Source organism: Homo sapiens, chromosome 9, assembly GCF_000001405.40.
Source record: "Homo sapiens chromosome 9, GRCh38.p14 Primary Assembly".
In the NCBI taxonomy this organism is placed as follows: Eukaryota; Metazoa; Chordata; class Mammalia; order Primates; family Hominidae; genus Homo; species Homo sapiens.
The window spans coordinates 81,496,432-81,510,559 of NC_000009.12; positions in this window are offsets into that span (position 1 = coordinate 81,496,432).

Consider the following 14,128-nt stretch of genomic DNA (forward strand, 5'->3'; position numbering starts at 1 on the left):
TTTTTTTTTTGTTTTTTATCTTTCGCCCAGGCTGGAGTGCAGTGAAACAATCATAGCTCACTGCAGCCTCAAATTCCTGGGATCAAGCCAACTTCCCACCTCAGCCTCTTGAGTAGCTAAAGTCTACTGGTGCACACCATCACACCTAATTTTTTCAATTTGTTTTTGTAGAGACAGGGTATCACTTTGTTGCCTAAGCTGGTCTCAAACTCCTGACTTCAAGCAATCCTCCTGCTTTGGCTTCCTGAAGTGCTGGGATTACAAGCGTGAGCCACCCTGCCCAGCTTCAATCAGTATTCTTTTTTTTTTTTGGAGACGATGTCTCACTCTGTTGCCCAGGCTGGAGTGCAATGGTGCAATCTCAACTCACTGCAACCTCTGCTTCCCGGGTTCAAGCGATTCTCCTGCCTCAGCCTCCTGAGTAGCTGGGATTACAGGCACATGCCACCACGCCTGGCTAATTTTTATGTTTTTAGTAGAGATGGGGTTTCACCATGTTGGCCAGGCTGGTATTGAACTCCTGACCTCAGGTGATCCGCCCACCTCGGCCTCCCAAAGTGCTGGGATTACAGGTGTGAGCCACTACGCCCGGCCTCAATCACTATTCTTACAAACTGCACACCATTTGTAGACTGTGAAATAAATAAAGTGGATAGCAACCAGCCCTTTTTTAAAAAACTAAAATAGACTAGATAAAACATAAAAGAAATATTCATTCATAAAAAGGCTTAGGTCTTGACACTAACTTCTGGTGTGTGTCTGCATGTGTGTCTGTATGTGAGCATACCAAGTCACCATACAAAATGTATTTCTTATAAGGAATCACCTACAAAAAATGTTTGACAGCCACTGACATAATCCAGTCTGGCCTCCTGCAAAACGTTCTCTATAAGACAACCAGAGTGATTCTTTCAGTACATGAATCTGATGTCACTTCCCACAGCTTCTCCCACCATCCACAGCTAACACTGGCCATCTCTCCAGCTCCAACCTTATCTTGATTTACCCTCTTTTCCAGTGCTCCCCCTTCATGAGGCTTCTTTCATCTCCTTCTGATTTCCATGTTTCCTTTTAACATAGAAAAATGTCATGAGCTGTTCCCTTAGTCTGTTTCCTTCCCTTTAATTGCCTAATTAACACCTACTATGCTTCTTGCCTTATATACTAGAACACATTTACATTTTTATGTGTTTTGTATGAAAGTTTGGTTCATGTCTGTTTTACTCACTAGACTTGAAGGTCAATAAGACCACGGACTATGCTTTTATATGCCCTTATATCCCCAGCATCTATCTCACTCCTTGGCACACAGTAGGGCCTTTATCAATATTAGTTAAATAAATCTGAATGTGAATTCCAAGTCTGAAACTTCTAAGTTATGTGAGTTCCAGTTTTATCTACACTGAGTTTCAGTTTTTCTATCTGTAAAATAGGGATAATCATACCACTCTGGGTTACTGTGGCATTAAATACGTCTAAAGCACCCTGCCTCTAATAATGAGTAAATTATTTGATAAGTGAATGTATGATATAATTTCCCAAAGAATCCATTTCCCTAGTGCTAACATCATTGCTGTCAGTGTTCTTCAATCTCTACCTCTGATTTTAACAGATCTCAACTTTTGTTAGAGTGGCTTTTTTTCAGTGTTTCTTTTACATAAGGCACCAAATCCAAGCCATCCCATGTCCTTGGCTAGTTGAGTAGCTCTCAAATTTTCCTGAGTTCATAACCAGTGCTACGTCGCTTAATGCTGATTTGGTCTTTACTTACATCATTTTTTTCCTCAGACCATAAATTCATTGAGAGTAGGGTCCATAGACTACATTATTGTATAAATTTTATAATTTTTTCTGCAGGAGTATGAAAGGCATCCTGGTATATTAGTAAAAGTACAAGGTTTAGACTCAAATGGTCTCTTCGTTTTACTGTTTGGTAGCAGGGTAATTCTCAGCTAATCTCTCAAATCTGTTTAAGCCAGTGGTTTCCAAACATGAAACTACTGTACATTAAAATCATCTTTTTCATTAGTATTTTTTAAAAATACTAATGCCTGGTTTCCACCCCTAGTCATTCTGATGCAATGGGCACAGGTTGCTGCCGAGGCATTGAGATTTTTGAAAACCCCCCAGGAAATTCTACAACCCTGTTTGGAAATCGTTGCTCTAAATCACAAATTCTCTTATCTGTAAAACAGTGGTGAAAATCGTTCCAATTATAAACAGTTAATGAGATACTTTAACAAGATCGTAGATGGTAAAAGTCTTGGCACATTAAAAGTAATCAGAGAATAATTGTTAGCATTGTTAGCTGGTGGTGGTGGAAGTAGTAATATATAGTCACGAGGAATCAGATGGTGAAGATTCATGAGGACACTCGTCAGCCTAGCTGGTTATGGAGCATATTTAGAACCCTTTAAATGTCAACCCAATTTCTATACATCTGGAACTTTTTTCTGACTTGTAGAAAGCACCTTACTGCAGAGGCATCTTTTATTTGGATTTACCTACAAGTGACATAGAAATTTGCCTTTCTCATCTCATGAGCCGAAGGTACGACACGTCCTGTGAGTCTAATAACTACTCAGGAAAACTTTTTCCGTGCCTTCAGCATTTACAAGGCTAACTTTAATACGTGGGGAAAAAATTTTGATATCAAGTTGCATCTGAGCCTTTGAAACTATTTTGGGTCAGCTACACAGCAGAAGTTGGAGGCTGGCAGAGAGCCGTAAAACTGAGCCAAAAATAAACCAAAGACCATTATAAAAATGCTTCGAGTGCCAAAAGCATGAGATGTTAAAATTGCAACATAATGGAGTAAAAATTTACAAAAGAGGCTTTCCAATGGTGGCACAAAGTGTTCCAACCCAGAGAAAGACAGTTCACAGGGAAACGTTTGGAGAGTAAACTCAGCGCCTGAAAATTAGCCTTCCAGACATGTAAGAATGCCCCCATCCAAGGCTATTTACAATGTATTACCCATCAAGAACCAAGAGTATTAATGTCCTTCCCCTCCTTCCCCTATTGGAGAGCACAGGCTGGATAGCTGGGGTACAGGAGAAGTTTTCATAAAAATTAATTGGGACACTCAGCTTTTCCCAATATTCAGCAAATGCTGCTCTACTTGCCCATCTCTTAGCCTGGACACATTCTTCCTCTCAATATCCAACCATTCCACAATGCAGTCTGGTGTACCTATTCATTATTTATGGTCTTATTTTCCTGAGCTCCAGAAAATATGGTAATGTATGCTCAATGCAGTCCCTTGGTGGAGGCTTTCTGGAAGGGTGGCATCAAGTGCTGGGTGTCTCCCTCCTGGCTCTGCCCTGCCTGCCAGTCTCAGCTTTCTCTGCTTGAGTCCGTTCCTACCCTCCTTTTCCACAATTAGGAACTGCTACCAATTGCACATGGACAGATTTATGCATGGCTCGAGACCAGCCAGTCTCCCACTGATGGTCTAAAAGAAGAGTATGTTCTGTGTCAACAATCCTTTGCACAGAGTCCAAATGGCTTTTTGTACATACTTCTTTTGACCCAGGCCCATAATTTTTTTAGGTTAGAATTTTATGAGCCCGATGCAAAGTCTATCAACATTTTCTTTGTGAGACATACTCAGGGTACAGCATGTTTCTGAAGTGTGCGAATATTTGGGGATATTTCTATCATTCCATGCCAAGAGAAGACACTGGGAAAAAAGAGGGAGGGGAGATGTGGAGAGGCAGTCTAATGACCACTTACTAAGGGAGTTTTAAATACCAAGACAGATATGATGGTCCATCAAAACATTTCGAAGTAGCTTTGATTAGAACCACACATTCAATTATGCACTTCTTATTCAGGTGGTCCCCCACAATGAGGCCACCAGGGCTACTACGACCCAGAGAGTGGCTTCATCAGCCAAGAGCTATACCATTCCATGCCATAACCCTGCTATGACCCCTGGCTGAAAAGATCAAGGTGGTGATACAGTCAACAACACAACAGTGCACCAGACCACAACCTCAATTTTCCCTAAAGATTTGCCCTTCTTGTCTATATCATGGTGTGACCTTCGAATAAGCTAGCAATGCTATGGACTGTGGTCTTGAGGGGCTTCAGATTGATAAGGACTATTGCATCTCTTCACACAATTGGAGAATAAACAGTCTTGATGCTCATGCTATACTCACTTATGTAGAAATTCAAAGAAAGTTCTCGGCTCTCTAAAAATGGCAAGTTGATGAGCATAGACAGGAAGCAAACTATAAAATGCTTAAGAGATGATCATATTTTCCCTCAATATCCCATTGAGTATTTTCATCAATATCTAATTTTTAAGAAAAGCCCAAAGAAAGCACCCAGACTCAAAACTCCATGATGTTACCAGCAGACACCAGGAGTCTAAAATGAAATGATGAGAGAGGGTTTTTCTTCCAGGCCCATTTTCCTCCCTATTTTTCTCTTTTCCATCTTCCCAAGGTTATTGCAAGATTTATGCTAAGGAAATGATAACCTGCTCTGTAAATGTAAGAGACTATTCATTTTATTATCACCTTTAGCCCATTCTTATTATTCTTTTCACGTTATCGATCCCATTCTACCCTAGTTGGGGTGTTGAGACTGCTGCCCGGCCCTCTGGGCCTTTCCTGAGAAATCTGAGCTTTCCCTCTCAGCCCTCTCCTGACCCCTTGCCACTGCATCAAAAAACATCATTCCTGATCATTGGTTTTAAACTGCTGCAATCACAGAAATGTCATCAAGGTCAAGAATGTGAGAATGTGTGTATGCATGTGTGTGTGTGTGTGAGTGTTTATATATGTGCGCTTATTGCGTATGAGTATATAATTTTGTTGTTTAGTCAATTAAATCTTAAAAATATGCATTTTTGTCTGTGCTATTCCCACACACCTTGATCTCCCAATCTAAATTGATCATCCAATTCAAACTACGATCTTAACGACTAACCCTAGAATACTGTGTTAACCTAAGCTGAAAGGTATGATGACTAAAATAATGAGATCTAACACAAAGATAGCATAGATAGCAAAGATAGACCAGTACCTAGTCTAAGTGCTTTGTATATAGTAGCTCCCTTAATCCCTCAAACCTAATGAGGTAGGTGTTATCTTCAATTTAGAGATGGAGAAACTGAGACACAGGATTAATGTAATTTACCCAGAGTAACACAACTAGGTAAGTGGATGAGTCAGCTTTTAAACTGGTACTGTCTAGCTTCAGGCTCTATGTCTTAACTATTGTACTTGCCTACCCCAATATGGTATATGATAATTTCCAAGTTGGTGCTGAGACTGTGGAAGATATATTTGTGAATACTTCCAACCACACCATTTGGCAAATAGACATTATTCCCCTATGTGATACTGCCCTTGATGTGCTTCAGATTGGATAAATAAGTAGATCTTTTTGTCACTTTTGGTACATTTAACCATAAAAACCATTGTCAAGTAAAGGGAATAACCTCTTAAATGGCAGGTGAAACTGAGGCATTGCTTACCTAGCGTGGTAAAATGATTCACACGAACTTTGAGACCTTTAGTCACAGCAATAATAGTAACGGTAGTAGTAGTAGTGCTAGAAATACAAATAATGATACTAATAATAATACCTGCAGTAGTAACAAGAGTCGTAATAGCACCATGTTGATCAATTGTTATATACCAAGCATCATGGAAATGCTTTCATATGCATTATTTTCTTTAATCCTCACTAAAACCTCTAAAATAGGTCTCGTTAGCCTTTTAGCCTCGTCTTACAAGTGAAGAAGCTAAGACTTATATGATGAGATTTTAATCCAGGTTTTAACTTAGTTCAAGGCTGTACAACCCTCTATTGCCAATCAATTCTCTGATAAGTTTGCCTACCAGTAAGAGGAAGGGAGTTGAATTCCAAGTTGGCTTCCAGCTCTACAATGAAGGACTGAACACCGTTGAAGGGACATAAAATTGGGCTTCATTAGAAAAGTAAGTGGAGATGGGATGATTTAATTTTTTTTTCTTTTTTTTTTTTTTTGAGATGGAGTCTCGCTCAGTCGCCCAGGCTGGAGTGCAGTGGTGTGATCTCAGCTCACTGCAACCTCTGCCTCCCGGGTTCAAGCAATTCTCCTGTTTCAGCCTCCCAAGTAGCTGAGACTATAGGCGCGTGCCACCACGCCCAGCTACTTTTTGTATTTTTAGTAGAGACGGGGTTTCACCATGTCAGCCAGGATGGTCTTGATCTCTTAACCTCATGATCCACCCACCTCGGCCTCCTGAAGTGCTGGGCTTATAGGCATGAGGCACCACGCCCGGCCAGGATGATTTGATTTTTAAAAAAGACTAAAGATAATCTAGTTTCACGGAGAGGATATAAAGCATTTCTGCCCACAAAACCACACCTCTGTATATACAGAAACAAAGAAGTCAAGGTGACCAAAGGCTGAAATAATCAGCTTCCAAATCAGAGATCAGAGTCTAAGAGAGCTGGATATGAAGGAAACAGCATGGTGCTGGAAGTTCAAGTTTACCACACATTTGGGAATTGTACCAATATGTACTAAAATGTAGAATAGGTATCACTTGGTAGTAACAGAAGCTATTTTACATGGTGTAGGACATGGTAAGAAAGTGATTTTCTTCATTGTTTCAATATTTCAAGGATAAACTCTCCATGTGGTGTTTGTATATATTTAATACCTTTATAGCATTTGCTAATTGCACTTTTAATAAAAGGAGAGCAAGCCTAAAACTCAGAGCCTCTGCAAGAAAGAGTATCCAGCTAAAATTTGATGTTGTTGATCCATTTTTATTTTCTATAGTTCCTTTCATTGATAGCAACTGATGCTGGCTTTCAATTGACAATAATGCAGTGGTTCTTAAACTTGAATGTGCACAAAAATCAATGGAGAGTTATTAAAACACAGATTTCTGGACCTCATCTCTAGAGATTCTGGTTCACTAGGTCAGCAGAGGGACCATAAATTTGCAATTTTAACTAGTTCCTACGTGATGCTAATGCTACTGCTCAGAGGGCTATACCTGGAGTACTATCAGGGTAATTACACAAAATTTCTTCTTTAAAAAAAAAAAGTTATTTTAGGCTGGGTGCAGTGGCTCATACCTGTAATGGCAGGACTTTGGAAAGCCAAGAAGGGAGAATTACTTAAGGCCAGGAGTTTAAGACCAGTTTGGGCAACAAAGCAAGACCCTGTCTCTCCATAAAATAAAAAATCAGCTGGGCATGGTGATGCATGCGTGTAGTCCCAGCTATTCGGGAGGCTGAGGCAGAAGGATCGCTTGAGCCCAGGAGTTTCAAGTTGCAGTAAGCTATGATCATGCCACTGCACTCCAGCCTGGATGACAGAGCAAGACCTTGTCTCTTAAAAAGAAAAAAAATGTTATTTTAATAAAAGAGATTGAGTCACATTGTGTCCGGAATTGGTAGGTTCTTGGTCTTGCTAACTTCAAGAATGAAGCCGCGGACACTCGCGGTGAGTGTTACAGTTCTTAAAGATGGTGTGTCTGGAGTTTGTTCCTTCAGATGTTCAGATGTGTCTGGAGTTTCTTCCTTTTGGTGGGTTCGTGGTCTCCCTGACTTCAGGAGTGAAGCTGTAGACCTTCCCAGTGAGTGTTACAGCTCTTAAAGGCGGCGCGTCTGGAGTTGTTCGTTCTTTCCAGTGGCTTCGTGGTCTTGCTGGCCTCAGGAGTGAAGCTGCAGACCTTCACGGTGAGTGTTACAGCTCATAAGGGCCGCAGACCCAAACAGTGAACAGCAGTACTTGTCACCTCTCATTATGAGAATTAATGTTTCCTTTTTCTTTCTTATTTATCCTCTGGTCTTTTTGCTCTTCTTTGCTTGGTATATAGTCATCTGATAATCTGAAAGTTTTGTATTGTTTTTGTATATCATGATTAGCCTTATAGTTACAATCTTACATATATGCTTAATCTTTACTATTGTGAACACTGATAAAAAATGTTCCTGCAATTTGGTCTACCCCCATTTTCTCCCTGCCTCACCTGATTTTAGCTAATTATATTGTCTTTTTCTGTTTTCCTAGTGTTTTCTTTTTATTTATTTTATTTTTTTATTTTTTTCAAAGATGGAATCTTGCTCTGTCACCCAGGCTGGAGTGCAATGGTGCGATCTCGACTCACCGCAACCTCTACCTCCTGGGTTCAAGCGATTCTTCTGCCTCAGCCTCCCGAGCAGTTGAGACTACAGGCGTGTGCCGCCATGCACTAGTAATTTTTGTATTTTTAGTAGAGACAGGGTTTCACCATGTTAGCCAGGATGGTCTCAATCTCCTGACCTCGTGATCCGCCCGCCTCGGCCTCCCAAGGTGCTGAGATTACAGGTGTGAGCCACTGTGCCTGGCCATTTGTTTGTTTCTTTTTGAGACAGGTTCTCACTCTGTCACCCAGGCTGGAGTGTGGTGGCATGATCATGGCTCACTGCAGCCTCCATCTACCGGGCTTAGGCGATCCTCCTGCTTCAGTATCACAAGGAGCTGGGCCACAGGCATATGCCACCATGCTCGGCTAGTTAAAAAAAAATTATTTGTAGAGATGAGGTCTCACTATGTTGCCCCGGCTGGTCTCAAACTCCTGGGCTCAAGTGATCCTCCTGCCTTGGCCTCCCAACTGCTGGAATTACAGACGTGAGCAACCACACCTGGTCCCTAGTGTTTACTTTAAACTTTTAAATACATTTATACTTCTATTACTGGATTGTTCAGAATTAAATGATCCATTTAATTTCAGACAATGTAATTGCACTACATTCTCATGTTCTTTCAGTCCTTATTTTCAAACTTTTGTTATTAACTGGAACCAGAAGAAATTGCCATTTTTATAGGTTAAAATGATAGTATATTGCCAGTTTCATGGTTGTTATTGGATGGCTACCCAAAGAACTATTTCATTAACTTTACATTTAATTACTTTCCTGAGGTATGTCTTGATGTTTATCTCTCTGATTCATTATTTCTTGGCGTGTAGTATAACCTTCAATCTGTAGTTTTAAATCTGCTTTTACTTAAGATAGCTATGTTAAATTATATCTTTGATTTTTTTTCTTCTGTTTGATTCTTTTTTTTCAGGAATAAAAATTATTTGAATGTAGGATCTCTTTTATCTCACAGCCATATCTTCTATCCCCTCTCTAATCCTATGAAAGTCACCATATTCATTTAAGTTTATTCTCTTTTCTCAGTCCTATCTTTTCTGTGGTGTCTATTTTCCTCTTTGATATTTCCATACTGGCCTTAATTTCTGTGGCAGCTTCATTTTTTTCTTTCACTTATTTCCTGAGCCCTGGCCACTTCGTATCTAATCTTCTGATGTGTCATCTTTTCTTCCCTCTTGAATATTTGTGTCTTTTCTTTGTGCTCTTGTTTTAAATTAACATTTATTTTATTTAATTCTCTGAGATTCTGGATACGTATTTGTGACTTTCATCTACTTCATTATAATATTTTTTATGATGTGTATTTTTTGCCATTGTTTTTTCTTTTGTGTTTTACTATAGTATCTTTGTCTTGATGTTTTGCTAATTCCTTTATATTATCACTCATCTTCGAGTGATAAAACCAGATTTTGGGAGGTGTTTGGTGTTGCAGTGTTCCGGAGCAGCAGGAAGCCTTGATGGTGCACAGTGAAACTCCTTAGCTTTAGGGTTTTAAGTGTCAGCTAGTTAACTCAAACATCTCAGAGGCTGTCAGAGCTCAACATCTCAAACTTCAGGATCTTTCCTCTCTCCTACCTCAGCACCATACAATGCCAAGAAATGATGGCAAGTTTGTTTCTTTTTCTATCCTGGAGTCTCTTATTCCTTCCTGCTAAAAAGAAACCAAGGAAACTCACACTGTCACTGCACAGTGTCACCCTGTGGCTGCAAATAAAGGACTATGGCTTCTACCTTTGAGGATGCCACCTTTTTTGGGCTCTTTAACCTCCAGGTACCGTTGTCTCTTCAGCACAGTTCTGTGCTCTAGGCTGGTATTTGCTAAGTTTGAGAACTCATTCTCTTAAAATTTGGTTCTCAAATACAGAGTATACCTAGTGCCTAGGTTTTGTTCAAGTTGAAAGCTGCCTTACTGCCTTTCAGATGTCTTGTTGCTTTTAGGCAATTTCAAAGCAAAATGGTGGAAGGATGTGTTCATTTTGCCTTTGTAAAATTGGAAGACTCTGCATCATTCATTTTTGAAATTTGTAATATGAGTTTAAGACGGGATTGAGAAGGAAATTCATTCATTCTCTTAAACTACTTCAGAGAGGTAACCATTCAGGAATAGACACACTTAGTAAAGTAGGTTGAACAATTTTTAACCTAACTGTATAACCTGTTGGCTAATTCTAGGATAGCCTAGCATACTTGCATTAATGAACGGTAGGGAAATCTTAGGTATTTTTCTCTTAAAATAATCTCATTTGGGGAACGCAAATGGTTTAATTACATTCATGTTCAAGTTAAATTTAGACTTTGAAAAGATTTTAATTTCTTAAAATGGTATTATTTTGACACCTAAAAGATTTCTAGTTAGACTTTTATAAAGTTTATGAACAGATTTCAAAAATGAAGCCTCACTAGAGTCATGAGAGATATTAAGAATGTCTGTAGACTTTATAGATGAGGAAACAGGCTTGGAGAACTCAGTTATCACATCTAGTGAGTATTAGAGTGAGTTCTAGATGAGCATATTCCTAAATTCAGTTGTATGTAAGAGTTTCATGATTTTTGCTGTATCTGCATATTATTTTACATAACTTTTTCTCTATTTAACATTTTCCTGTAATATTGAGAGGTGACAAAGTGCTAGCAGCCCTCACTCGCTCTCGGCGCCTCCTTGGCCTTGGGGTCCACCCTGGCTGCCCTTGAGGACCCCTTCAGCCGCCGCTGCACTGTAGGGGCCCCTCTCTGGGCTGGCCGAGGCCAGATCTGGCTCCCTCTGCTTGCAGGGAGGTGTGGAGGGAGAGGCGCGGGCAGGAACTGGGGCTGCACGCAGCAATTGCGGCCAGCGCGAGTTCCAGGTGGGCGAGGGCTCAGCGGGCCCCGCACTCAGAGCCTCTGGCCAGTGCCACCGGCCCCAGGCAGTGAGGGGCTTAGCACCCGGCCAGCAGCTGCGGAGGGTGCGCCAGGTCCCCCAGCACTGCTGGCCTGCCCACACCCCACTCGAATTCTCACTGGGCCTCAGCCACCTCCCCGCGGGGCAGGGCTCTGAACATGCACAACATGACCAAGCCCCCCCTCCCCCAGTGGGCTCCCACGGGGCACAACCCTCCCCAACTGGCGCCATCCCCTGCTCTACGGCCCCCAGTCCCATTGACCACCCAAAGGCTGAGGAGTACAGGGGCGTGACGGCGGGACTGGCGAGCAGCTCCACCCGCCGCCCTGGCACAGGACCCACTAGGTGAAGCCAGCTGGGCTTTTGAGTCCGGTGAGGACTTGGAGAACTTTTATGTCTAGCTGGAGGATTGTATATGCACCAATCAGCACTCTGTATCTAAGTCGGGGTTTGTGGATGCACCAATCAGCACTCTGTATCTAGCTAATCTGGTGGGGACTTGGAGAACTTTTATGTCTAGCTGGAGGATTGTAAATACACCAATCAGCACTTTGTGTCTAACTCAAGGTTTGTAAATACACCAGTCAGCACTCTGTGCCTAGCTCAAGGTTTGTAAACGCACCAATTAGCACCCTGTGTCTAGCTCAAGGTTTGTGTACCTACCAATCAGTGCTCTGTGTCTAGCTAATCTACTGAGGACTTGGAGAACTTTTGTGTCTAGCTCAAGGTTCCTAAACACACCAATCAGCACCCTGTACAATGGGCCAATCTGCTGTCTGTAAAATGGGCCAATCAGCTCTCTGTAAAATGGACCAATCAGCAGAATGTGGGTGGGGTCAGATAAGGGAATAAAAGCAGGCGCTAGCAGTCGCAACCTGGTAGGGTACGGTTGCAACTGTGGTAGCTTTGTTCTTTCACTCTTCCCAATAAATCTCGCTGCTGCTCCGTGTTTTGGTCTGTGCCACCTTTGTGAGCTATAACACTCACCTTGAAGGTCTGCAGCTTCACTTCTGAAGCCAGCGAGACCACGAACCCACCGGGAGGGACGAACAACTCCAGATGGAAGAAACAAACAACTCCACACGCAGCACCTTTAAGAGCTGTAACACTTAACCCCAAAGGTCTGCAGCTTTACTCTTGAAGCCAGCAAGACCACGAACCCACCAGAAGGAGGAAACTCTGGGCACGTCTGAACATCTGAAGGAACAAACTCCGGACATCCATCTTGAAGAACTGTAACACTCACCGCGAAGGTCTGTGGCTTCATTCTTGAAGTCAGCGAGACCAAGAACCCACCAATTCCGGACACAATAACATATAACATGGTGCCAGCAGCAATAAATCCCCAAAAATCTGTCATTAGAAATTGTGAATGGAATGATGCCATATATTCAAAATTTACTCACATAACAAAGACAAAACCCAACTATTAATGCTATGCAAGGTCTACCTCTAATGTAGACTGATTTCAACGTGGCAAAAGCAAACCTTGAAAATGAAAGGGGGAGGAGGTGGGAAGAAGGAAGAAAAGAGGAAAGGAAGAGGTAATACATTCCAGTAGTTTTTAAAAATGAACTCATAGTATTAAAAAGCAAAGATCCATTAGGCATATATCTAGGCAAATATAGCATCATTAAAACGCGTGAAGGGGCCAGGCGCAGTGGTTCACTCCTGTAATCCCAGCACTTTGGGAGGCCGAGACAGGCGGATCACGAGGTCAGGAGCTCGAGACCACCCTGGCTAACACGGTGAAACACCATCTCTACTAAAAATACAAAAAATTAGCTGGGCGCGGTTGCAGGCGCCTGTAGTCCCAGCTACTAGGAAAGCTGAGGAAGGAGAATGGCGTGAACCCGGGAGGCGGAGCTTGCAGTGAGCCGAGATCGCGCCACTGCAGTAAGGTGTGGGTGAAAGAGTGAGACTCCGTCTCAAAAAAAATAAAAATAAAAATAAAACTCGTAAAGGGATTGAGATGATTGAAGCAGAAGGGGCAGCACAGTTTTTAGGTCTCACAATCTTCACATAAAAGCAAACAAAGGAAATATATGATAAGCCAAACATGCAAGAACAACAATTACAACAAACCATGAATACCAAAATATAAATAAGTGGGGACAAATGACCAATAGCCACAAAACTTGGCTAAAAGAGCATCTGAAGCTCTGAGAACAGGAGCACAGTATTCACTGGAAAGCCAGCTGGTACACCCTGGAAGAGCAGCAAAAACGAGGAGGAGTTTCAGCCCAAGCAAATAGCAGGTGAGTGCGAGGGCCAGTGTGAGGTCTCAAGGTGCTGGAGCAGCCTGGGCCACATAAGCCCTGGGAGCTGCCAGGCAAGCTCCCTTCTAGGAAAGGATCCTGCCCTGAGAAGGACTTCATGGAAATGGAATCACAAGTGAGTGGAACAGAGACCTTAGAGCCAATGCAAGAAGAGGTCCACATCAGAGTCAGGGAGGAAGCAATGCTAGGAAACCTCAGACAGCAAGTCTGTCTGAACAGGACATGCTGCAATGGAAGCGGGAGCTGGGGATATTAGAAAGCCTATTCGAATACATTTCAAATAATGGAAAAATAAACAAAACTGAAGACATTACAGACATTAGACTTGGACAAGTCAAAGGTATATGTAGCCATTTCTGGCCTAGCCACTAAGAAAAGACAAAAAGAGAGTATTTAATTTCAACCTAATAAAGGAGAAAATAGAATGATAAAAAAATAACCGAACAAAAAGGCGGCAGGACGATCTTGGTTTCTAATTCTCCAATAAAAGGAAATCACTCGAGCAAGGGACCATGGCTCATGCCTATCTATAATCCCTGCACTTTGGGAGGCCGAGACGGGAGGATCACGAGGTCAGGAGATTGAGACCATCCTGGCTAACACGGTGAAAACCCGTCTCTACTAAAAATACAAAAAAAAAAAAAAAAAAAAAGAAAAAAAAAATTAGCCGGGCATGGTGGCGGGCCCCTGTAGTCTCAGCTACTCGGGAGGCTGAGGCAGGAGAATGGCGTGAACCCGGGAGGCAGAGCTTGCAGTGAGCTGAGATCGCGCCACTGCACTCCAGCCTGGGCGGCAGAGTGAGACTCCCTCT